At 42.9% G+C, this 25,966-nt stretch overlaps 1 protein-coding gene, 1 long non-coding RNA gene and 1 pseudogene across 3 annotated transcripts, besides 2 other annotated features; all 3 read right to left on the bottom strand.

The window, feature by feature from the left end:
* Nucleotides 1-349: 349 nt before the first annotated feature.
* On the bottom strand, nt 350-6,121 carry PRR23D1 (proline rich 23 domain containing 1). Of its 2 annotated transcripts, XM_011534716.4 has the most exons (5): nt 5,259-6,121; nt 2,919-3,093; nt 2,094-2,155; nt 1,781-1,848; nt 350-1,552 (listed from the first exon to the last, which is right to left on the bottom strand). In XM_011534716.4, exons 2-5 carry the CDS (start codon nt 2,993-2,995, stop codon nt 920-922), a joined length of 840 nt encoding a protein of 279 aa, XP_011533018.1. In that variant the 5' UTR covers nt 2,996-3,093; nt 5,259-6,121; the 3' UTR covers nt 350-919. The 2 variants fall into 2 exon arrangements, with proteins under 2 accessions (XP_011533018.1, NP_001269408.1); NM_001282479.1 differs by lacking the exon at nt 5,259-6,121 and having other exon boundaries at nt 2,919-3,173.
* Nucleotides 13,380-13,919: an enhancer, noted in NCBI's record as "H3K27ac-H3K4me1 hESC enhancer chr8:7386403-7386942 (GRCh37/hg19 assembly coordinates)". NCBI's record gives its function as "activates a minimal SCP1, AML or CMV promoter by ChIP-STARR-seq in primed H9 embryonic stem cells {active_cell/tissue: H9 hESC(primed)}" and the evidence as "EXISTENCE:reporter gene assay evidence [ECO:0000049][PMID:30033119]".
* Nucleotides 13,964-17,602, bottom strand: LOC101927997 (proline-rich protein 23D1-like; annotated as a pseudogene).
* A 4,382-nt stretch (nt 17,603-21,984) lies between these two features.
* Nucleotides 21,985-22,466, bottom strand: LOC105377801 (uncharacterized). Its single transcript, XR_941389.2, has 2 exons — nt 22,379-22,466; nt 21,985-22,215 (listed from the first exon to the last, which is right to left on the bottom strand). It is a non-coding gene; the product is annotated as an uncharacterized LOC105377801 (long non-coding RNA).
* Nucleotides 24,304-25,181: an enhancer, noted in NCBI's record as "H3K4me1 hESC enhancer chr8:7375141-7376018 (GRCh37/hg19 assembly coordinates)". NCBI's record gives its function as "activates a minimal SCP1, AML or CMV promoter by ChIP-STARR-seq in naive H9 embryonic stem cells {active_cell/tissue: H9 hESC(naive)}" and the evidence as "EXISTENCE:reporter gene assay evidence [ECO:0000049][PMID:30033119]".

The following is a 25,966-nucleotide window of genomic DNA, read 5'->3' as shown; positions in this document are numbered from 1 at the left end:
GAGACGTCCAGGCAGGACAGGGAGAGCCTGGAAGCAGCTGTGAGCAAGTGCAGGTGCCCGTCCCAACACACAGAGCTAAGCTCTGTTCAACCATTTGCTAAGCCAGACCCATCCCAGGGCCCAGAGGTGCAAACAGTGACCCCACTCAGGACTTGGAAGGAGGAGCACAGGAAAAGCCCCAAATTGGCCAAAAAAACTGTCAGAAATGTGGCAGTTATTTCATAAGTACATGAATAATAAACCCAAACAATGGAAAACAAAACTAAACAAAGGCAAATGTGAATGGAAACGTGATGAGTGAGAGCAGGAGAGTGTCTCAGTTGGAAGCAAGCACAGCAGTCACCACTACTTCATTCAATGACGTCAAGATTTATTCAAAAGCATTGGCCTGGGGAGTGTAGGGAACCTGGACTAAGACAAGGAATGGGGCACAGCTTGGAGAAAAAGGGGAGAGTCTCAGGGCAGAAATAGAGCATCAGCCTTAGGAATTATTTATTGTGGCATCAGACCAATGACTACAAGGACATCAGCATGCAAGGGGCGGTGTTAGCCCCCGGGAGTGAGCAGCTGTCTTCAGATGAACTTTCAGACCACGTCATGCTGGAAGCAGAACTCTCACATGGAGCAGTCAGGGATTTGATTGAGTGTGGTTGGATGTATGTGCTTAAATAGGAAGAGAAAGTCTAAGGGACAGTGTGTGTGAAGTGAAATGTGAATGTTTTATTTGAACTCCCTGCAGTTCTCCCCCTCCCTGCAGCATCTGGGACCCTCCGCTGTTGAAGACAGTGGTTGATGATGGGGAACAGCAAAGGGCAAGCAAGTGGTCAAATTACTTTCTCTCCACATTTCAGAGAATGCACTGACTAAGGATCTGGACAATCTCTGACCTATCAATGCAGGGGGTGGCTCTTGGGTTAAATCACTTCCTAAAGAGACATCTCCGTGCCCTGCTGGGAGGCCTATGGTGAACCCTGTGATAGACCTGGGGACCAGGACTTGGTGAAGGGGGCATAGGTCTGAGGGAGGAGGTGCACAAGAGCTCCATACCATGCAGGCTGAAACTGGAGTCGGCTGGTCTAGGGCGTCCCACAGGACTAGGTGTGGGTGGTAGAGGGTAGCATTGGGGGAAGGCTGCCCGACAGCGTGGAATGCACAATGGGGTTACTAGGAAAGAAGGGCTGATCCCAGCCATGTGGTTTGCTTGGGGTATCATCAAGGGCTGCTGATACAGGGGTGCTGCCTTCCCTTCTTCTGCAGGTGAAAAAGGCACATTCTCTCTTCTCATGTCTGAGATGTCTCCATCTTGAGCATGGAACTCCAAGCTGAAGTCATCAACGGAAGGTATGATGTACTGGATCTGCACAGGGGACTGCAGGCCATCTTCTGACCTCAGGACATGCTCAGGGACAATCACAAGGACTGTGTTCTCCAGGGTCAGCTGCAGCACTGTCTCTGGGGCCAAGATGAGGATGACCTCTTCCAGGCTCAACCTCACTTCTGTCCCTTGTTCCAGGACTATCATGAGCTCCTCAGTGCCAGAATCCTGCTGATTCTGTGGAAAGACAGTCCTCAGTATTCTGCCCTCCAAAAAGGCTGCAAATGATGCTCATGGGGAGGGAGATGCCAGGAGCTTCACCCTTTACAACTTTAAAATACAAACTCCCTCCCAGAATTGGTGCTCATGCCAATCCACCTAAATATACATCCACTGGATGTCCCTTGAACCTGAAGATTGTGCAGCACTATCCAATCTTTGCTATGCAAGGACACAGGAACTTACCTGGGGAAGTTCCAGGGACTGGTATGAATTCAGGTGTGGAGCTCCTGAAATTGAGGGTTTTTTTGCACCTGCAGAGAGACCACAGTGAGGGAGGTTAAGGCTCTCTTCCAGCAAGAGTCTCTTGCATTTCAGAATGTGACCTTCAGAAATCCACCACCCAGCACTGGCCAGCCTCAGGACACCAGCCCCCAACAGTCAAGCACGACTTTCCACTCACCCTGCAGAAAGCACCCTCTCCATTTATGGTATCATGAGACATGACACTGACTTCCAGGCATGGGAATCTTAAAAAATATTAGGGAAAGTGCCTTACCTGTACTGGGACCCTGCTCCACTTGGCGACGTTTGGGTGGATTCATTTGTGTGGTAGCCAAACTGCAGGACAGAAAGGGACCCATCAATCTTCCACATAGTGACACAAAGTCCAATTCTCACAAGCCCCAAACTTCATTAGTCATCCGGCACACATTGCTGCTGTGGCCCAAAATCACATGCACTTGTGTTCAGCTCCAAATCCTACCTGCATCCAGAAAGTCCTAACACTCATATCCCACCCTCTCCTTTTCTAGAGGCTTTTCCTATCGGTGCATGTGTGTGATAAGACATGGCGATCACAGGAAACAGTTTGCTTTTTCAGGAGCTCATCCACATGAGAAGGAGGGACATCAAATTTGGCCCGAGGACTTTAGGAGAAGATGCTGATTTTCCGGGTATCTAACCCCTGTGTCTATGCAGTTACAGTGTGAATGGAGTGATAAATGACATGAAATGTTCCATTTTCTAGTGAGCACAAGGAAAAAATTTAGATCATGCCCACAGTTTACCTGTCTCCACACAAGAGGCAACTTCTGTTTACCCAGAGGACAGAGATTAACAATGGGAAGAAACATGAGATGAGCCCCCTGACAGGCTGCAGAAACCCCCCATGCTGGCTGCATCCTGTGGCCTCCACTGTGGGTCTCATGTCTCCCCAATGTGTTCTAAATTTATAACATTCAATGTCATGGCAGGCCAGGGTGTCTTCTCTGCCCTAGTTTGGCCCTTTAGCATACATTCACACACACACACACACATACAGTCACACACAGTCACATGTCAACCTCCTGGCAACCCAAAGTAGCCACATACTCCAACATACCTGGTCTCTCCTTCATTGTCATTCTGCGGTTCTGTCTGGGAATCTCTGGGGCTTCTTAAGCGCCGGTAACCATACATGGTAAAAGTTCTCTGGACTTGCTTGTGTCAAAAAAATCTCAATCTTTGGCCTATTTTCTGTAAATCTATATAGTTCGTGCCTTGATCTTTTACTCTACCTGGAGAAAAATTATCAGCCTCTAGCACAGCACAGCCAGAGCATGGAAGAGTGTGTCCTGGCCTGGGACCGGTCAAATGGTGCTTTGGTAGAGTGAGCTCTTGGGGAAATCCTCCAAGGGTCTTATAAGAGGTGGAGCCATGGGATTTGTCAAAATGGATGAATGTGATTGGCTAGTGGTGCTGATTAAACAACATGAAGGGCCAGCATGGGAGTGGTTTTATCAAAACTCAGTCAATATGAGTGTGACCCAGTCAGAATTAGCCTAATTCAATCAAAATTAATTCAAGATCTCTACTCTGATTCACCATATAATTGTGACATAAAATAACAGTATTTTAAACTAGCAATATTTACTTTCTATTGTAGTCTGTTCATTAATTTGGTAGGACAGTTATTTTCTGTAAAGTTCATGTGTACGTCGTTTCTTAGTAAACATAAAGGATTGGGTCTAGGAAACTTTAAATATGCCACAATTTGTATATACTCAAGTCCCTTGTATAAAACGGCGTAGAATTTGAATATAACATAATCACATTAATTTATATAATTTAAATGATCTCTAGATTACTTACAATACTTAATGCAATGCCCAGACGTCACGTCATTTATGTGAACTCAAAAAGAATGTGATGCATGGAAAATTTAAAGTTTCTTTGAAGAAACTTGTGCAAATCTTTTGTGAATATTTTCTATTCAAGATTAGTTGGATCCATGAATATGGAACCTATGGATGTGGAGGGCTGACAGTATTTTTAAATAAAAAAAAATACGTTATTTTAAGTGAATTAAGTTTTAAAATGAATCTCCTGGGGAAAGTTATCCAAACAGAAGAAGCGAATACTATAAGACAAGCTGGGGAAAATACAAAAAGAACCTTTACTTAATTTCTAATATATCATTGTGTATTAATCTGTCTGTTAATTTATTTCTTGCCTGTATCCCCGCTGGACTAATTTCAGAATTGTAATGCAAGTTTTGCTTTCAACATTACTTATTAATTACAAATCCATCATTCTTATTGGCAAAGTCACCTAAACTTCTTGCAGGTGGCCAGACACCATATGCCTGAACTCAGAATTAGTCATTTTAAGATTAAAAATTATTTGACAGTATAAAGAATAATAGATGGTATTGGGGGAAAACAGTAATCCAGTAATCACTAGAACTGAACTAGAAGGAAAATCTGTGAGGGTGCACCATTACTGAGCGTGCCATCTCTAACAGGCCCCTGAGCTCAGGGCTTCATCCTCTCTCTAGAACTTGTATAAATTTGTTTGTGGATTCTCTTTGCATTTAGCTGATAATTTCATCAGTTTTATTAGGTGAAGTATAGACCCTGTTTCCCTTAAATGTTAAAAAAAAATTGAATCTAATTAGCAGATGCCTTTTGCACTGAAGCTTTCTTCTCCAGTTAGATAAATCATTTAGATGAATAAAAGGAAAACAGGAAGATTCCTTTAATTTTGCCAATGTCTTAAAAGCCTCCAAGGGGAACATTAGTGCCTTTATCCAGAGAACTCTCTGCTTTGGGGATTTTGATAATTTCTGAGGAGAACAGCAGGTAATTAGCTGAATATCAGCTGCAGTTATAAAATTGGATTAATTGCCTACATTCTTTCTGGCTGCGGGGTTCAGGTTGAGATATTCAAGAAATAGCCTCTATTGATGATTCTGGAGTATGTATATTTTACAGTCAAGAAAGAGAAAGGCTCCTCATGGTGAGTTTCTGTGTGTCACGTCTAGCTGAAAACCTATGGACTGCAAACCAGTACAAGAATAAAAATATGAGGGACGTGCCAAATACATATTCTACCTTTATAATCGCTTTGATTATAAACCAAATGTTTTAATAGATAAATTAATAAATTTGCAGCATAAATGTCTCAGGATATATCCTGCAGCACAGAATAATAACTTATTTTTGAAGAAATATTTAAGCAATATGTTTTCATTTGGGGTAGAAACTATTTTTCACAAAAGTGTAGCTTTCCCCTTGCATGTGTAATGAAAATCACTTTTAAATCTGCAGTGCTAGGGTAAAATTAAAGACGTGGCTCTTGCCGTTTTAATAGCAACAATTAAAGGATGCATTAGTGCCCCTCCCTTTCATTGTCTCACTATTTTTCAGTGAATTTGGCACTGTAGGAAAGATGAGCCCCTCACAATGTGGAAATGCAGGGATGCAGAGTGCGGGGTTTCCCTGCAGGGGCCCCTTTCTCGCGAGCTGCGCGACAGTGCGCCGCCGTGCCCCGGCCACATACTCCTTCCTCTGCAGGGTCCCCGTATTCTGTAGATTTTCCTCACAATTCTTCTTGTGTTTCTCCTCATAATGAATCCTGACAGAGGTTGCGAGGAAGGCACATTACGGCCTGCTATGGTTATCAATGAAAATCCCTAAGGAATACGTAGATTTGTAAAATAATTCTTGCTAATATATCCCAACAGACAGTGCAGAAGAAAACACGTAGGAACAGCCCAGAACATTAAGTCTTTAGTGCTGTTTCAGAAAAATATCCGGGAGACGCGCAGGGAATCTCACTCCTCATCAGGTAGGGCTGTGAACAGCAGCGTTTTCCTTAAGATGGATGCAGCCCCATTTGCCCCAAAGCCAGGGCGGCGCCTCCTCCTCCCTGGCCTGAGGAAGGGAAGTTCCCTTCTTCCTTGGCGATCTGGCCCCGCTTCCGCAAGCAGAATGCGCATGCGCCCCGCACGACCAGAAAGCGAGTTCCATTGCCCTCTGCCGGCTATGGGCTTGCAGCGCGGGACTCTTGGCCTTCACTGTTTAGCGGTTGACCTGCGTCTGTATCGCTGAAATTCCGGTTTTATCAGTACCTTCCTTTTGGAAGATCAAATGCAAATGGAGCACGGTATCTTTTTTCTTTTTCTTTTTTTTTTATGAAAGAGGGTGGAAATAAAGAAGCAAAGTCCAAAGACCGTATAAAATAGTCTGTTGATTCCCTGTATGTGGAGGAAAGAGGAGCTCGAATAAGAGAAACATTCTGTGTGATGCTTTAATGCCAGAGATCTGCCACTATGCATTTGTCAAATACAATACAATTTTACAGCACAAATAGTACATCTTAGTGGGTCAGGATTACAGCAAATGACATCTAAAATTTGGAGAACATTACATATTTAATTAAATAGGTCAAAGTATAAACAATGTGAGGCCTGCCTGGACACAGTCTCTGCCTGTCCTTCCAGATTGTCATGGGCTTGAATTGATGTCTCCTCATCCTCACACAGGAATTGACATAAACCCTGGCTTTAACGTAAAAACAGTTGGGCAGATTTGTAAACATTATGATGTTTCACTTTCACCCATGAATTAGCCAATTTAATTGGCCTCAGTAAAGTCTATGATTTTGGGATTGTGCAGTTTGGTAAAAGCTCAAAGTCCTCTCAGTATATTTCCTGGGACCACTTCTCCTTGATATTTAGATTCAGTACTGAGATTTGTTGAAGCACAATATGTATCCAAGCCCGAGTCAAAGCAGAGGATGCCTGCTGGTCAGAAGATTCATTTTGCTTGTGGAAAAGTCCATTGCATTTGATATAAAAGGGCTTGCATGGTGACTGAGAAGTTAGGGTGTTTTAGTTTGCTGGTGCTTTATCTGCTAGGCTATAGTAAGGGGAGCAATGCTGTGTCCTTCTCTGTGTCATAACGCAATTACTCACTTGAATGAAAAGTGGGATGTCATGAGATGAATTCCTTTTCCCTCTTTGGGAGGCTTTAGGAACAAAATCTCAAGAGTTTTCTGAGGGATACAAGAGCAGGGCTGCCTGACTCTCTGCCCCGGGAGCTGTTCATGGGCAGAGACGAGGGCTGGGGTCATCCAATGGTTTATACAAGGTGTCTTTGATATTACTCCCATTTCCCTGCTAAATCTGTGTAATGGCTCATTGAGAAACCCGGCATGAAGATCCCTGTTTTGACAACTCCAGGGATGGATGGAGACAAATATTTTTGTTGGAAGTTAGAATTAGGGGACATGGGCTGTGCGGCAAAAATAAAAAACTCTTGAAGAAGGCAGGGACTCGAAGAAAGGGGTGGAATTTCTGCCCACATGCCAAAGAGTGCAGAAGGAATTCTAAGTGTTAGAGCAGCATCAGTAAAACTAGATCTTGTACAACATATTACATTTTTCAGGAACAGGCTATATTGTTTCAATATTTGCAAGTATTGTTCTCTTAAAAAACTTGAGGAGCTGCTTAGACCTCTGGAGAGAAAAATTGAGACATGTAAGAGGGCAGGAGTGACACAGTGGTGACACACTCTGGAGTCCTGCCTACAAGCAGCACCCTTTGACCCACTCCACAAAAGCTCTATTCCACAGCTCAATTCCTCCTTAAAAAAAAGGTGAGAAAAAAATCTAAAACTTAGGAGAAAACAAGGAGAATGACCCACTTTCAAGCACTTCTTAGATTTTACGACAACTCTACTAGCCAGACTTTATGTAAAATGGAAGTAACGTGGTCTTTGTGCACATTTAAAAAAAAAAAAAAAAAAAAAAAAAGCCCTAAGGTCGACCTGCAAGTTATAGATTTCCTAAGGTCTCTTTTTCTCTCTTTTCTTTTCTGCCTGCTTTATATCAGCTGTTACATTATGACTGAGATAAAAGCCACTGTTTGGATATAACAGGGTTTTGTTTGTCTGTTTGTTCGTTTTTCAAGCCAGTTTCATATCATTCCTAAAGTTCTCAACCAAAAGCTACAGGATTTTCTTTTCTGTGCAAATATGTGCATGTATATATTTAAAAGGCTTTTATGATTTCTATAATTTTATGTTATGTAGCAGTTACATCCATTTTAATTTCTGTCTAGCACAACAGACTATTTCGCTGTGTTCCTCAGATGTAAGTTTCCTATCTGATTTTCACCTATGAATTGTTTCCTTTGATATGCAGAGTAAGGCTATTTAGCTGACAGCTACCTAAGGTAGTCAAACAGGTTATCAAGAATTTGAAAACCTAAGACAGGAAAAAATAGGATCTTATGAATCTATAAGATGTACATCTATTGGCATGCCTAATACATCTATGTATTTATGTGTTGTGTACACAATGTTTCACTATTAAAAATATATACAAGAGCTCTAATTGGCTTTAAAAATAAAAGCACATAAATCAGATACTTAATCAAATAAAAGACTACACAAATGCTTTTTAAGGTCACTTGACTTAAAATATTTAATAAATGAGCTGGCTTTAAAATTATGGGTAAAGTAAAATTAGAAATGTCGTAAAAATTGTTAGCATTTTTGTTTTGTGTTTATTGATCAAGTAATTCCATGCTTAATCCTGCAGAATAATATAAGATTAACCATAAGGGTTATAAAATTATGAAAGCCAGACCAAGACAAAATGATCTTTGCTTGTGTAATTTTAGACAAGAAAGACATGGAATATTCTTTTAATGAAATCCTAAATTATTTGTAAAAATACTCTTATATTTAACTTTAGGTTTCCTATGTAAGTAAACACCTAAAATGCACAGCTATAAAAAAGGGTAACAGGGAAATAACTTACAGAAGGACTGTTACAGTTTTGGTCAATAATCTAGGTAAACTATTGAATAATGTAATCAGGAAAATGTGATGGAATAAATGCTCGTAAACAAACTTGTCATATAATTTAGGATCTAAGGTTATTCATAAATATTGAGTATACAGGTAATTCAAAACTTAAAAATTATAAAAAATTTTTAAGTGTTCTTATTAAAATGTAAATATCTTTGTGTAACTGACAGCCTACTTAAATGTTATGTATAAAAAGAACCAGAAAAAAAGAAATGTAAAAAAATTTAAAGTGGTACCTTTTTATAGAGAAGGGATAAAGGAAAATAATTTTATATCAGAAAGAATCTTGTGTAGTAAATTTTTGCCCTAGAATAAAATGACTGGGTCATTCAAGAAAGAGGAATATTTAGGAAAAAACAGAAAGTCTAAACATGTTTTGAGTGGTCTATGTAAGTCATAACAGGATTAGTAAAAATATATTTTTTTAAAGGGGTTGTATAATTCAGTTGGCTACCATTAAAAAGGAATTATAATAGTCTTTCTAGGGATGGATCTTCGATATTTAAAAATATACACTAATGTAAAACTGAAATAATTGGTTAAAACAAGATTTTTATTAAAAATATTAACTTATTACTAATGCAAAAAGTTATTAAATTTTAAATTCTAGAATCTGTCTCTTTGAAATTCTTCAGATAAAATAGGTCAAAACTTCAGCTCTTCCTCTTTGAAAGGGCCATGGATGATAGCTCTCTCCTTCACCTTTTGTTGGCTCCTGTAACTTTTATTAATTATCTAAAGTAAGAAAGGGAATTTTTTTAAAAAAACAGTCAAATGAAATATCCTTTGGACCTGCCTTTTTATTCCGCATGAGTGTTATATCTCTATCTTTATATGTGTCATGTGGAAGTGGTATTTAACTCCCAAACTACATGAAAGAGCTCTAGACAAGTAACTTTTCTTAAAGAAATGTAGCTGCTTGTTAGACTGGTACAAGCTATCTCAAATGCCCTTTTAATTTTCATAACCTTAAGAATCTTTGGTAAAATTAATGTGGTAAATTCCATCTCAAAACTCTCCAGTAATTTAAAAGCTTCAAGTCATGTTAAAATCTCAGGTTAGGTTATTTTTCACTGGAAATTTGGATTGCTGAAAGTTAAAATAGCAAGAGCATAAAATTTGTTTTTGGTGAATTTTATAAAGCATAAAAATGTTGACTTTGCTTAAAAAAGAAAATATATTTTTCCTCTAGCTAGAAAACTATTTAAGAGTTGCTTTAAAATGAAAGGAAAAATTATACGGATATAACTAAATAAAAAGAGTAATTAAGCTAGGGCAACAAAAGTTAACTCTGAGACCCGTGGCTACCAAAATGATAGTCAATCAATGTGGGGGAAGAGCAAAACTAACTATTTAGAACCAGAGGGTATACTGTAAAGAATTGTTCCATTTTGTAGTTTAGTATCATCAGCTTCTTTAAAAAATCCTTACTATGATGGATTGAGAAAAAACACTTTAAGGACAAGATTCTTAATTTTAAATGTTACACGATTTAAGAGCTTGTTTGGGTTAATGCAGGACCCACAGTTCACTATTGAACAACCACTAACATGTGATCCAAATACCCAGGAGGTTATTCCTAAGAGAATAATCAGCATAATATACCCAGAAAATGCCACCATAAAGTCTGTTTTCTCTGAGTAGGGGACTACCTAACTCTCCCAATAAAATACCAAGTGAAACACCCCAGATGGAGCAGTTAATATGCTTCTTATGTGAACCATGTTGGACTGGCTTAATAATGACTGGGATATGCTCCCACCAAACTGTCTGTTACCCAGGTTATGTTAAATTTGGGTGCTAAGAGGGCCCCTTTTACATGGATGCTCCTCCCACAAAATCATGAGAGTGTTTGAGGAGTCGTATCAAATTTGCTGCCCCTTAGAGGTCTTATAGATGCAACTCCCTGCTGAGAAACCAAACCCTTTTTCAATAGAAAAGGTAAAATGATTTGGGGGTATTAAAAAAAAATTCTGGGACCAGAACATATAAACATACAGGTTAATAGAGTTATGAAATTTAAAATGTTTAAACAGGTTTTATGTAAGGTAGTTGTAACCTCCTTTACTACCTGGGAGAGGTTTCCCCTTTCTAGTAGTATAAAACTGAAGGCATATAAATCTGCTCTTTTGAGAAATGTTAATTGGACATGCCAAATGGGAACTAGTAAGACTGCCTAAGCCCACAAAGTATAGGGTAGAAGCTGGAGTGCTAGTCGGGACAAATCCTGCACTTCATAGCCCTTTGTGTAACATTTATTGGGGCTGATGGCAAAAAAAAAAAAAAACTGTGAGTTCTTCCTGATGACAAAGATAGAACAAGGGAATTTCTAGCTCAGGGACATTTAGTACCTTACTATGGAATGCTAACTGAACCAACTTCTATGATAGTGGAAATAATGTTGCCCCAAAAGAGTTTCGTGATAAAATAAAAATGGTTTACATAGAATCTTGCTACATGGGGATATAAGGAGGAGATACTAATAAGCAGGCAGCCTCATTCCTAGGACTAATTCTAACTCTGTGAGGAGCTGCTAGATTGCATAGTGCCTGATAGACAGCTCTCAGGAGCGGTTTGGCTTGTGCATGACATTTCCAAGATGATAAACAAACATCTTGTGTGAAAGCCACTGCTCTTGTTAAAGGAGGGTCCAGACAATCTTTTTCTTTAATTCATTTTGATGAAGTTTGTTTTTGTAAGCAAATTATCTTTCTGAGTTCTCCAAAATTCAGATCCTAATTTTATGACAATATGGTTGTTTGCATAAGTTTCAATAAGAGTCTTTAAAACAATTAGAGACTTGAACTAAAGTGGTATATTTTTAGGTAAGGTGCCAGCAAAGCCAACTTAAAATGAGTCTATGTGGCCAATCAATTCTTGCTGCATTTTAAGCAAATAATCCGGCCAACCATGATAAGACTAAAACTTACTTGGCACACAAACTGGTCTTACTATAATCTCTAAAAAAAATGCAGATAGAACAATTGTTTAAAAGGAAAAGCTTAAGGATTAGTACTAGATTTCAGTCCTAACTCTTTTTAAGTGCAGATTAAATCATTATTTCTTTGCTATAATAATCCTCTAGAGAGTACCAGATCATAATTTATCTCCATATTTTTAGCTGGTTCCCTAATGAAGTAGGTTCCTTTTTCCATTCTGACACACAAATAATCTTTTGATTGTGAAACTATAAATGTTATTTACCTCTCCTTGTTTTACTTCCAAGGAAACCAAAATTACGGTATTCTGAAGACTAGAGATATGAATCCCCCTCAGCTGACATCCCACTGGGTTCAGATCTGTATTTCACCGCGAATCTTCTGCTGCTAAAACTATACAAGCACCCTCTCTCTAGGCTCAGGGACTGTCTTGGAAGAGGCAGGCACATGAGATTGTAAGAGCTAGTTTTGAGGCATGAACTTAGGTCCATGTCAAACTCTCCAAATCAAGGAGGGGTACAAAGATGGTACAGCCGGCAAAACAAGGGACATTTCCTTCTAGACTATAGTGTGTCACTTTTGCATCCACCCCAACCATAAACAATTTTCTGCTTCTCATAGATTTAAAAGAAAATATTTACTGATAGGATAAAGATGCCTTATGACAAAGCCTCTTGGTACAATACTCCCAAGTATAAATTGCACATATAGTTTCAAATTGTGCTAATGCCATTAGTATACAATGGCAACAGCAATCCTGATGAATCCAGCAAAATTCGCCACCCAGAAATTAAAACTTGACCTCACTGGAAAAGTTGGAGCTGGCCTAGGTATATTGGTGTAAGCTGAGTTCATAGCTAACGAGGAGAGGCATCTCTTAGAGAAAAGTTTTCTGTCAAAAATAGCCCACATAGAAGGAATGTTATTCCAGGAAGATGGAAAAGGATGGGAAGCTCCTTTAAAAAATAATGCAACACTCATCAAATGGATAGGAGAAACCAAACAAAACATAAAAACATACTCTCAAACCCGAAGGTGGCAATGAGCATGTTCTGTAACCCAACAGGGGCTCATGTCTATTTCATTACAAACACAATCTAAGGTGGCTATGAAGCAATGGCCTATACTCATCTGTGCCGAGGCACAATCCAAACACCTGTGGAAAATACACGGCCCCCCAAACATATGGAAAATTTCGGATGGTAAATGTGACCTCAAACATGGTATTCTCAGAGCATAGGCACCAAAGTTAAATGAGGCTCAAAGGTATTCTGTGGTTCAACTGGCAGGCATTGTAAACAATACAGAAATACTCCCCTGGGGAAATAGGTGGACTATTTCAGCTCATGATAACACATGGCGTCCCATCTCCTTTTCAGATTGTGAAAACAGAAAAGGGGAATGGTTATGCCCTCAGTCCACTTAGAACCCTAATTTTCCCCAACTTAGCCCCTAATATCCACTCCCATAGCACATAACATTTGTTATATGGGAAAGGGCCATTTCTGTGGGAAAGGACAACAAAATGAAAGTATAGAATCATATGACTTCTCCTTTAAAGAACATTGTTTTCTCTCCCAAACACATACCAGTATATAGTGCAATACAAGTGGTGTGAAAAATAGGTGTGTCTACTGTTAACAAATCCTGTAACAATTTAGATATAGAACACCAGGCATTTGTTGCACTTGATTTATACCCTCGTCAGGATGTTATACCTATGGAGACCAATTGGCCCGAAGTAAACGAAGCTGCACCCTTACTACCTTGGGCACATGTTCTGAGGACCTCCTGAGGGCTCTTCAATATATTGCAGAGTTTGACTGCTTTACTCAACAAGGTACTGGGGATTAGGGTAGAAATACACCGATGTGAAGGACGGCGCCATTTCTCAACTCACAGAAATAAAAGAAGAGAAAACACCTGGAGAAGGAGGAGGAGAAGGGGGAGGGGAAAGGCGAGAGGAGGGGGAAGGGAAGGGGAGGGGAGGAGTGGAGGAGGAGGAGGAGGAGAAGGAGGAGGAGGAGGAGGAGGAGGAGGAGCAGCTGCTGAGCCTGGAGCTCCCGCCAGCCCCTGGGTGAGTCCTTGAGGTGGAAGAAGAGGGACTTGGTCCTGAGCCTGCCCCGGATCCACCCGCACCAGAACCCTAGAATCCCAGTTTCTGGATGGGACCCAGTCCCACCCAGGCCAGACACTCCCTTGACCCGGAGCCCGGGCCCTGCCTGGCCTCTGCTGCCACCTCTCATGACAGAGTCCAGGGCCCCCGCGCCACCTCCGCATCAGCAGGGCTCTGGGAGGGCGGGGCCAAAGACGCCCAATGGGACTTCCCGTCCGTAGGGGGATCCTGACGCCCTAAGGGCGCAGAAAGGCGCCCCCTGCACTGGGGCGGCCATCTTCGCTCTCGCAGAGGAAGGGGCCTCTCCAGCGCCCAGACTCAAAACCTCCCCGGAGGCCCGGGCTGGTGAGGACGCCCTGGCTGGGCCTCTCATGTGGACGAAGGCTGCTTCCGCCCCAGCCGAGATACAAAACTCTGAGGAGAATCAAACCTGAAAAGGTGCCTGTCCTCCTTCCCAGAGGGGAAAGGCAGTTCCTGAAACCTCAGTAGAAGAGAAAACGCTGTGAGGGCTCGGGGGACCAAGGACACTCTTCCCAGGCCAGCAAGGCCAGAGTAGGAGAAAGCTGCACCCACCTCCAGGGAACATGTGAGGTTTTAGAGGGTCAGGCAAGTCAAGGGCAAACGCCCTGTACTCCCCCCGGGGTCATGAGCACTCCCCACCTACTGGGGTTGGGCTCAGGGAGGCCAGGACATTATCCCCGCATCTCCCCTGCCTCCAGGACCCAGGTTGACTAGGAAAAGGTGGTGGTGGCTCTAGCTGGCCATGGATGCACAGGCTGGGACATGCAGGCCAACAAAGAGGTGCTGGGCCCTCAAGGGGACTGCTAGATTTCCTAGACACTCCAGAGACACAGGGACACCCAGGCAGGACAGGGAGAGCCTGGGAGCAGCTGTGAACAAGCGCAGGTGCCCATCCGAACACACAGAGCCAAGCTCTGTTCAATCACTTGCTAAGCCAGACCCATCCCAGGGCCCAGAGGTGCAAACAGTGACCCCACTCAGGACTTGGAAGGAGGAGCACAGGAAAAGCCCCAAATTGGCCAAAAAAACTGTCAGAAATGTGGCAGTTATTTCATAAGCACGTGAATAATAAACCCAAACAATGGAAAACAAAACTAAACAAAGGCAAGTGTGAATGGAAACGTGATGAGTGAGAGCAGGAGACTGTCTCAGTTGGAAGCAAGCACAGCAGTCACCACTACTTCATTCAATGACGTCAAGATTTATTCAAAAGCATTGGCCTGGGGAGTGTAGGGAACCTGGACTAAAACAAGGAATGGGGCACAGCTTGGAGAAAAAGGGGAGAGTCTCAGGGCAGAAATAGAGCACCAGCCTTAGGAATTATTTATTGTGGCATCAGACCAATGACTACAAGGACATCAGCATGCAAGGGGCGGTGTTAGCCCTGGGAGTGAGCAGCTGTCTTCAGATGAATTTTCAGGCCACATCATGCTGGAAGCAGAACTCTCACATGGAGCAGTCAGGGATTCGATTGAGTGTGGTTGGATGTATGTGGTTAAATAGGAAGAGAAAGTCTAAGGGACATTGTGTGTGAAGTGAAATGTGAATGTTTTATTTGAACTCCCTGCGGTTCTCCCCCTCCCTGCAGCATCTGGAGCCCTCTGCTGTTGAAGACAGTGGGTGTTGATGGGAAACAGCAAAGGGGAAGCAAGCGGTCCTTGGAATTACTTTCTCTCCACATTTCAGGGAATGCACTGACTAAGGACTTGGACAATCTCTGACCTATCAATGCAGGGGGTGACTCTTGGTTAAATCACTTCCTAAAGAGACATCTCTGTGCCCTGCTGGGAGGCCTATGGTGAACCCTGTGATAGATCTGGGGACCAGGAGTTGGTGAAGGGGGCATACGGCTGAGGGAGGAGGTGCACAGTAGCTCCATACCATGCAGGCTGAAACTGGAGTTGGCTGGTCTAGGGCGTCCCATGGGACTAGATGTGGGTGGTAGAGGGTAGCGTTGGGGGAAGGCTGCCAGACAGCATGGAATGCACAATGGGGTTACTAGAAGAAAAGGGCTGATCCCAGCTTTGTGGTTTGCTGGGGATATCATCAAGGGCTGGTGATATAGGGGTGCTGCCTCCCCTTCTTCTGCAGGTGAAAGAGGCACATTCTCTCCTTTCATGTCTGAGATGTCTCCATCTTGAGCATGGCACTCCAAGCTGAAGTCATCAATGGAAGGCATGATGTACTGGATCTGCACAGGGGACTGCAGGCCATCTTGTGACCTCAGGATATGCCAGGAACAATCACAAGGACTGTGTTCTCCACGGTCAGCTGCAGCGCTGTCTCTGGGGCCAAGATGAGGATGACCTCTTCCAGGCTCAACCTCACTTCTGTCCCTTGTTCTAGGACTATGATGAGCTCCTCATTGCTGGAATCCTGCTGCTCCCGTGAAAAGATGGCCGTCAGTATTCTCCAAAAAGGCTGCAAATGATGCTGATGCGGAGGGAGTTGCCAGGAGCTTCACCCTCTACAAGTTTAAAATACACTCCCTCCCAGAATTGACTCTCGTGCTGACCCACCTAAATGTACATCCACTGGATGTCTCTTGAGCCTGAAGAGTGTGCAGCACTGTCCAATCTTTGCCATACAAGGACATACGAACTTACCTGGGGAGGTTTCTGGGACGGGCATGAATTCTGGTGTGGAGCTCCTGGAATTGAGGGTGTTTTGCAATCTTTGCCATGCAATGACATAATAACTTACCTGGGGAGGTTCCAGGGACTGGCCTGAATTCAGTGTGGAGCTCCTGGAATTGAGGGTGTTTTTGCACCTGCAGAGAGATCACAGTGAGGGAGGTTAAGGCTCTTCCAGCAAGAGTCTCTTGGATTTCAGAATATGACCTTCAGAAATCCACAACCCAGCACAGGCCAGCCTCAGGACACCAGCCCCCATCAATCAAGCATGACTTTCCACTCATCCTGCAGAAAGCACCCTCTCCTTTTATAAGATTGTGAGACATGACACTGACCTCCAGGCAGGGAGATCTTAAGAAATATCAGGGAAATTGCCTTACCTATACTGGTACCCTGCTCCACTTGGTGACGTTTGGGTGGATTCATTTGCGTGGTAGCCAAGCTGCAGGACAGAAAGGGATCCGTTAGTCTTCCACACAGAGTCTAATTCTCACAAGCCCAAAACTCCATTTATCATCCAGCACACATTCTTTCTGTGTCCCTCAGTCAAGTGCACTTGTGTTGGGCTCCAAATCCTACCTGCATCCAGTAAGTCCTAATGCTCATCTCCCCTCCTCAACTTTTCTAATGGCTTTTCCTATCGGTGAATGTGTGTGATAAGGGATGGTGACCACAGGAAACAGTTTGCTTTCTCAGGAGCTCATCCATCTGAGAAGGGACATCTAATTTGGTCTGAGGATTTTCAGGGAAGACGTTGTTATTTCAGGTATCTGAGCACCGTGTCTGTGCAGTTACAGTGTGAATGGAGTGAGAGATGATGGGAAATGTTTCATTTTCTAATGAGCACAGGGAAGAAATTTAGATCATGCCCACAGTTTACCTGTCTCCGCACAAGAGGTGACTTTCATTTAGAGAGGGAACATAGATCGACAGTGGGAGGAAACCTGAGATGAGCCCCCTGACAGGTCCAGAAACCCCCCATGCTGGCAGGATCCTATGGCCTCCACTGTGGGTCTCATGTCTCCGGCAGGTGTTCTAAATTTATAACGTTCAATGTCATGGCAGGCCAGGGTGCTTTCTCTGCCCTAGTTTGACCCTTTATCACACATTCACACCACACACACACACAAATGCACACAGTCACACATAGTCACATGGCAACCTCCTGGCAACCCAAGGTAAACACACACTAACATACCTGCTCTCTCCTTCATTGTCATTCTGCGATTCTGTCCAGGAATCACTAAGGCTTCTTTGGCGCCAGTAACCATACATGGTAAAGGTTCTCTAGACTCACTTGTATCAGAAAATTTCAATCTTCATCTTATTTTCTTATAAATCTATACAGTCTATGACTTGATCTTTTACTTTTCCTGAAGAAGATGATCAGCTCGGCACATCCAGAACATGGAATAGTGTGCCCTGGCCTGGGACAGGTTGAATGACGCTATGGTAGAATGAAATCTTGGGCAAATCCCAAAAGTTTTATAATAGAGAGAGCTGTGGGATTTATCAAAATGGATGAACACGATTGGCTAGTGCTGCTGATTAAGTAGTAGGACCTGCATGGGAGTGCTTTTATCAAAACTCAAGTGATATGGGTGTGCCCCTGTTAGAATTAGCCTAATCTAATCAAAATCAGTCTAATGTAACCTCTACTCTGATTCACCATAGAAATGTGATATAAAATATCAGCATTTTAAAATAGTGCTATTTACATTCTATTGTATACTATTCATTAATTAGGAAAGACAATTATTTTCTGTAAGTTTCATGTGCATAATCATTTCTGGGTAAACATAAAGGATTGGTTCTAGGAAACTTTGAAGGTAACAATATTTGTGGATGCTCCACTTCCTTGTATAAAGTGGTAGAGAATTTAGATGTAACTTACTCATATTAATTCATATAGCTTAAATTATCTCTAGATTACTTATAATACCTAATACAATGCCCAGACCTTACATTACTTACGTGTTCTCAACAAAGAATTTGGTGAAGGGAAAATTCAAATTTTTTTTTGTCGGGGGGTGGAAATTGTGTAAATATTTTCTGAATATTTTCTATTCAAGTTTAGTTGAATCCATGGAGCTGGAACCCATGGATGTGGAGGGCTGACAGTATTTTTTTTTTTTTGAGATGGAGTCTCACTCTGTCTCCCAGGCAGGAATGCAGTAGTACGATCTCGGCTCACTGCAAGCTCCACCCGCTGGGTTCAAGTGATTTTCCTGCCTCAGAGTACCGAGTAGCTGTGATTACAGGCATGTGCCACCACGCTTGTCTAATTTTTGTATTTTTAGTAGAGACGGGGTTTCACCGTGCTGGCCAGGCTGGTCTCAAACTCCTGACCTCAAGTGATCCATCTACCTCGGCCTCCCAAAGTGCTGGGATTACAGACGTGAGCCACCGCTTCTGGTGACAGTATTTTTAAATAATAAAATAATATGTATTTTAAGTGAAAGAACTTTTAAAATGAATCTCCTGGGGAAAGTTATCCAAACATAATAGGCTCATATCATAAGATGAGCTGGGAAAAATACCAAAAGGACCTTTACTTAATTTCTAATATATCACTATGTGCTAATCTGTCTGTTGGCTTATTTCTTGCCTGTATCCCCCACTGGAATGGTTTCAGAATTATAATGCAAGTTTCCCTTTCAACATTACTTATTAATTAAAAATCCATGATTTCCATGGACAAAGTCACCTAAACTTCCATCAGGAGGCCAGACACCAAATGCCCAAACTCAGAGTTAATCATTTTATGATTAAAAATTATTTGACAACATAAAAAAGGTTGGATGGTAATGGGGAGAAAAGATGACCAGTAAATACCAAAATTGAACTAAATGGAAATTCTGTGAGGCTGCACCATTACTGAATGTGCCGTCACTAACAGGCCCTTGAGCTCAGGATGTCATTCTCTCCCTAGAAATTGTATAAATTTGTTTGTAGATTCTTTCCATTTAGCTGATATCCTCCTCAGTCTTATTAGGTGAAGTACAGGCCCTGCTAACTTCTTAAAAGCGCCCACGGCGGACCTTAGTGTCTTTATTCAGAGGTCTGTCTGCTTTGTGGATTTCGGTCTTTTCTGAGCAGAACAGCAGATACTTTGCTGAAGATCAGATGTAGTTTGTTTGTTTGTTTTTCAGACGGAGTTGTGTTCTGTTGCCCAGGCTGGAGTGAGGTGGTGCAGTCTGGCTCACTACAACCTCTGCCTCCCAGGTTCAAGCGATTCTCCTGTCTCAGCCTCTCGAGTAGCTGGGATTAGAGGTGTGCACCACCATGCCCGGCTACTTTTTGTATTTTGGTTAGAGACGGGGTTCCACCATGTTGGCCAGGCTGGTCTCAAACTCCTGACCTCAAGTGATCTGCCCATGTCCGCCTCACAAAATGTTGGGATTACCGGCATGAGTCATGGTGCCCAACCAGATGTAGTTTTAAAGTTGGGTTACTTGGCCGGGCACGGTGGCTCATGCCTATAATCCCAGCACTTTGGGAGGCCGAGGCAGGCGGATCAGGAGGTCAGAAATTTGAGACCAGCCTGGCCAACATAGTGAAACCCCATCTCAACTAAAAATACAAAAAATTAGCTGGGTGTGGTGGCGGGCACCTGTAATCCCAGCTACTCGGGAGGCTGAGACAGGAGAATAGCTTGAACCCGGGAGGCGGAGGTTGCAGTGAGCGAAGATCACGACATTGCACTCCAGCCTGGTGACAGTGCGAGACTGTGTTTAAAAAAAAAAAAACGGGTTACTTCTCTACATTCTCTCTGGTTGTGGGGATCAGGTTAAGATATTCAAGAAACAGCTTACACTGAGGGTTCTGGAGTATGCATATTTTATGGTCAAGAAAGAGGCCCCTCATTGTGAGTTTGTGTGTGTCAATTCTAGCTGAAAACCTAGTAGAAGAAGAAAAATATGAGGGACTTGCCAAATATTCTACCTTTATAATCGCTTTGGCTATAAACAAAATGTGTTTTAACCAATAAATTAATAAAGTTATAGCTTAAAAATCTCAGGATATATCCTGCAACACAGAATAATGACTTATTTTTGAAGAAATATTTAAGCAATATATTTTCATTTGGGGTCCAAACTTGTTCACAAGTGTACCTCTTCCCCTTGCCTTTGAAATTAAAACCATTTTTTACATCTGCAGTGCTGTGATGAAGAGAAAGATGTGGTTCTGAATGCTTTATCGTCAACAACTGAATGTTGAATTAATGTCCCTCTCTTTCATTGTCTATTTTTCAGTGACTTTAGCACTGTAGGAAAGATGAGCCCCTCACAATGTGGAAATGCACGGAGGCAGAGCGCGGGTTTCCCTGCAAGGGCCCCTTTCCCACGGGCTGCACTGAAATTGTGTGGCCCTGCCCTGACCCGACCCCTTCCTCTGCAGGGTCCCCGTATTCTGTAGATTTTCCTCACAATTCTTCTTGTTTCTCCTCACAATCAATCCTCAATGAGGTCACAGGGAGGACATGTTACAGCCTGCTTCTATTATCTATCAGAAAGCCCTCCCTAACCCCAAATTTATACATTTGTAAAATAATGCTAAAGTATCCCAACAGAAAATACAGAATAAAACACGTGGCAACAGCCCTGAAAATGAAGTCTTTATGGCTGTTTCAGAAAAATATCCGGGATACTCTGCAGCGAATCTCCCTTCTCAGCAGTTAGGGCTGCGGACAGGAAGTTTTCCTCCTGATGGACATCGCCTTAGTTGCCCCAAAGCCAGGGCGGCGCCTCCTCCCTGACCAGAGGAAAGGAAACTCACGTACTTCCTGGAGACCCAGCCCCGCCTCCGCAGGCAGAAAGCGCATGCGCCCCGGAGGGCGGGACGGCGTGTTCCCTCGCCCTCTGCCGGCCATGGGGTTGCAGCGCAAGAGGCTTGGCTTCTACCGCTTAGCGATGGACCTAAGTCTCTGAATGGCTGAAATTCTGGTTTAGATTATTCAGTACCTTTCTTTTGGAGGATCAAATGAAAATAGAGCACGGTATCATTTGCTTTGATGGAAGATAACTGAAATAAAGAAGCAACGTCCAAGGACCATATACAAAAGGCGATTGATTCCCTGTATGTGGACGGAAGAGGAGCTTGAATAAGAGAAGGGTTCTGTGATACTTTAATGCTGGAAAACTGCTGCTATGCATTTGTCAAATCCCATACAATTTTACTGCATAAATAGTACATCTTAATGTGGCTCAGGACTACAGCTTATGTCATATAAGATTTGGGGGAAAATTACTATTTAATTAAATAGGTTAAACTGTGAACAATAATGTGAGCCCTGCCTGGACCAGATGGCTTGCCAAGCAGATGGCCATCCTCATCCTCACACAGTACTTGACAAAAACCCTGGCTTCAGTGTAGAATCACTTGTGGAGAATTTTTAGGATGTACCACTTCCACCCATGAATTAGCCCATTTAATTGGCCTCAGTAAGTCCATGGTTTCAGGATTTTGCAGTTTGCTAAAAGTTCAATGTCATCCCAATTTATTTCCTGGAACCATTTCTCCTTGAAGTTTACATTCAGTACTGAGATTTGCTAAAAGCCAATGCATTTCCAAGTTCTAGAGTCAAATCAGACGACGCCTCCTTGGTCAGAACTTTTATTTTGCTTGCGGAAAAGTATATTGAATCAAATATAAGAAGGGTTTGCATGGTGGCTGAGTGGTTAAGGTGCTTTATCTGCTAGTCCATAGTAAGGGGAGCACAACTGTGTCCTCTGTGTCATAACTCAGGACTCATGAATAAAACGTGGAGTGTCAGGAGATGAACTTCTACTCCCACCTAGGGGAGCTTCAAGGAGAACGTCTCAAGGGCTTTCTGAGGGAAAGAAGAGCAGGGATGCCTAATTCTCTGGCCCCAGGCAGTTGTTCATGGGCAGAGACAAGGGCTGGGGTAATTCAATGGTTTATACTGGGTGTTTTTGATACTGCCCCCATTTCCCTGTTAAATCTGTGTAATGGATCACTGAGAAACCTGGCACCTGGGGCTGAAGATCCCTGTTGTGTCAACTCCAGGGATGGATCCAGAGAAGTGGTTTTGGTGGAAGTTGGAATGAAGGGAGTTTGGCTGTGGGAAGAAAAAAAAGCTGTTGATGATGGGGAAACGGGAAGAGAAGGATGAAATCTCTACTCACATGCTAAGGATAGCTTATGCAAATCTATGTGTCAGACCTGCATAAATAAAACTAGAACTTTAACAACATATTAGATTTTTCAGCAACAGGTTTTATTGTTTCAATATTTGCAAGTATTTTTCTATTAAAAAATAATAAAGTTGCTTACATAATTTTGTATTCAAAATTCCCAGGTCACATAACTGTTATACATTTACACTTCACATTTTTAATGAGTAGATACATTCTCTAAATTATGAATTATTTGCTCAATTGTGTGTTAGTTTTTTCTTTTTATTCTCCATGACTCCGTTTTCTGACCTGAAATCTGCAGTATTTGGTAATCCACAAGATGATCAGTTGCCCTTGTAAAGACTTTCCTTTCCTATTTCCTTCTTAAGAAAGCATTTTTTACTGAGTTTTTTTGGTAACATACCAACGGTGGTACCTGGCTGAATGTTGGTTCACAGTGAGTAGAGACCAAGGCTTCTCTCAAATGGAGTCCCAAATTCTTTACAGAGCTAGGAATTCTCTACTCTGAAAGTCCTGTGTGTTTTAAGTTAGAGCTTTTGCAAACTATTTATTATATTGACAGTTTTCATTCTCATGTCATTCTCATGTCATTTATATTCATTTATAGCACCAAGTGTCCCCTCCTACTTGGAGAGATAATTTTGTTCTGTAGTTAGTTTAAAAAGTCTTGACTCTCCCCTCATCAAGCTGCCTTGTCATTCTGTACTTGGGTCTTGGGGCAGGCAAGGTCAGTAGGAGATGCCAGTAGAGAGTAACCACCACTAGCTTCACAAGAATGATGTGCTGTGACGAATTGTGATAGGGTTTTTCCTTCTCTTTGCCCTAAAGATTCTATACCATATTTCATGCTCTGGAGCAAGAGCAACTTCTTTCTCATGGTTTTAATCACAATAATCTGATTTCAAGCATTTAATTCCTTTTTTTCCAGAACAACTCATTGAATTATCAAAAATATGAAATTAAGGATACCTACTTATTGGCTTGAACTAGCTCTGAGCAATTTAGTAATCATGAACAGAATGGCTCTGCTAGAACAAAATTCCTGATCACTTCAGCCCATCCTTGAAAATTTGCAGAGAGAGGTCAAGGGAACATACACTTCCCTGAAAATTGTATTTTACAGACCCAGTTAAAAGGCCATGTAAGGAAATAATGGAGACAGTAGAAGAATAGACTTACTGATTAAACTAGGTTTTGACTGTTAATATAAAAAAACCAATACCCTTTCCAAGAGCACATTGAAATAGTGTAAAATACTAAGTACTAAAAGATATTTCCAAAATATAATAAAGACTAAAAATCTAAAGAGGCCTCATCATCTGAATCTGAAACAAAAGAGAATATTATTAAGACTTTTTAAAAAAAACCCTAATGAATTGGGGATCTCTTTCCTTTACTCCTCTGCTGTGGTTGGTCAGAATCCCCTTTCTATTCTGTCCTCCACCTCTCTCCTGATTCTCTTTGTCTGTGTCATCTATCCCACTATTTCTTGCCCACGTAACTTTCACTATTTTTTTCAACACCTTCTACAAAGCTTCTAGAACTCTTTCACTATCACTGCTTTTCAAAATCCATCAGAGACAGCTTCCCAATACTCAACGTTACCTTCTTTTTCAACCTCACTCTCCCTAGCTCCCTGGCTCTCTGGTTCTCTTTTGGCCTCTCTTTTTCTCCTTATGCCCTGGCTTCACATCTACATTCACAAGAAGAGAATGAAGAAGCCCCCTTCCCAATAAGAGCACGCCTTACACTGGGACTCCAAAATCTAAGCACACCCTGACAGGCACAGCCAGTGGAATGAGATCTGGGACAGAAGATCACAGGGCGTCACAGGACTGTGGCCGGTGATGTCCAAGCCGAGGGGGTTCAGGGGCCTCCCCGAGTCTGTGACTAAGGAAAGGCCTGAGGGCAGCAGGGCAGTGTCCCAAGAGACGCGAGGATGAAGGAGGGGTGCGGGCAGGGTGGAGGGCCTTAGAAGACTACTGATGTCTAAGAAATCCCAAAGCCAGCGGGAGGTTGTGGCCTTCCTCCTCCTGGCTTTGCCCACAAAGGGCCGCGAGGGGTGAGAATCCACTTCCGAGTGGGGACTTAGACGGGGCACTGGGTGGGGAGGGGAGAGGGTGAAAAGACAAAAGACACAAAAGCATGGCGGGGCACCAACCTCCCAGTGTCTGACAGCGACGTAGGGCTACTGCGGCTGAGACACGTAGGTGCGGGGATTGTGACGTCGGCAGTGACACCAGACGCCAGATCCTAGGTGTGGAGGATGGTGACACGGAGTTGTGAACAGAAAATATCAAAGTCCACTCCAGGAAAGGGGCCTTTCATCCGGAAAACCTGCATCCGGGTCCGCCGGAACCTGCGGTCTCAGGATGGGGTAGTGGGCCAGAAAGAGGGCAGAGCCAGTGTGGACCAGGCCTCAGCATCCCTGCTCTGTCCCCAGGGCGTATCGGGATCTGTCCCCACTTCCGGCCAGTGCAGCCTTGGTCTCCGCGTTTGCCACAACGCGAGTGTTTTACGTGCAGTGGGGCTAGGCTGCTTCCACCAGTTGCAAGTTGAGTGTTTCCGACATTTTATGGTCAGGGTAGTCAGACCACTTACAGTGGTTGATGACCCGGTTCATTCTGCACAAATTAAAAACAGTTTAGGAGGCTGGGTGCGGTGGCTCGCACCTGGAATCCCAGCACTTTGGGAGGCTGAGGTGGGCGGAGTTTGAGACGAGCCTGGGCAACAGAGCGAGACCTTGTTTCTACAAAAATACAAAAACTTAGCCAGGTGTGGTGGTGGGTGCCTGTGGCCCCAGCTCCTCCAGAGGCTGAAGCATGAGAATCACTCGAGCCCAGGAGGTCGAGGCTGCAGTGAGCCGTGATGGGGCCACTGCACTCCAGGCGGAGCAACAGAACGAGACCCCGTCTCAAACCAAACCAAACAAAACAATAACAACAAAAGTTTATGGCAGAAGTTCTTCTTCCTCTCTAGCGTGAGTGGGTGGAGCTGCACATCTTGAGTGGAGCAGGTCGTGGCGCCTTCACGACCCAGGGACCCCTGGCTGGAGGTGGCTGGACCAGGACCCCCACCAGCCCAGTCAGAACGGGCCATTTATTGTCAGAACTACAATGTGAATTGCCACAGTTGGCCGGTGGGGAGCGTGGAAATTCACACCAAGGATGAGGAATGTAGGTTCCTTTTCTACTCCTCAATCACCCGGGAGGCAGGGACAAAAGCAAGGGCTCTGTTCCAGGGACTTTTTGGGCCAGGACCTGAGCTGGGCCCAGGAGGCCCGAATCATTGCTTTAAAAGAACAAAAGTTACTGTGTATATTAATAAATTCCTTTATCCATCTTTATATTTAATGTGTTCTTTTCACATTTCTTAAGATGAATCATAAATCTGAATTCCTTTGAGACAAACGTGGATGACATC

The sequence above is a fragment of the Homo sapiens genome, chromosome 8 (assembly GCF_000001405.40).
Source record: "Homo sapiens chromosome 8, GRCh38.p14 Primary Assembly".
Taxonomy (NCBI): Eukaryota; Metazoa; Chordata; class Mammalia; order Primates; family Hominidae; genus Homo; species Homo sapiens.
The sequence above is the reverse complement of the archived record's forward strand: the minus strand, read 5'-3'. Positions and strand labels throughout refer to the sequence as shown.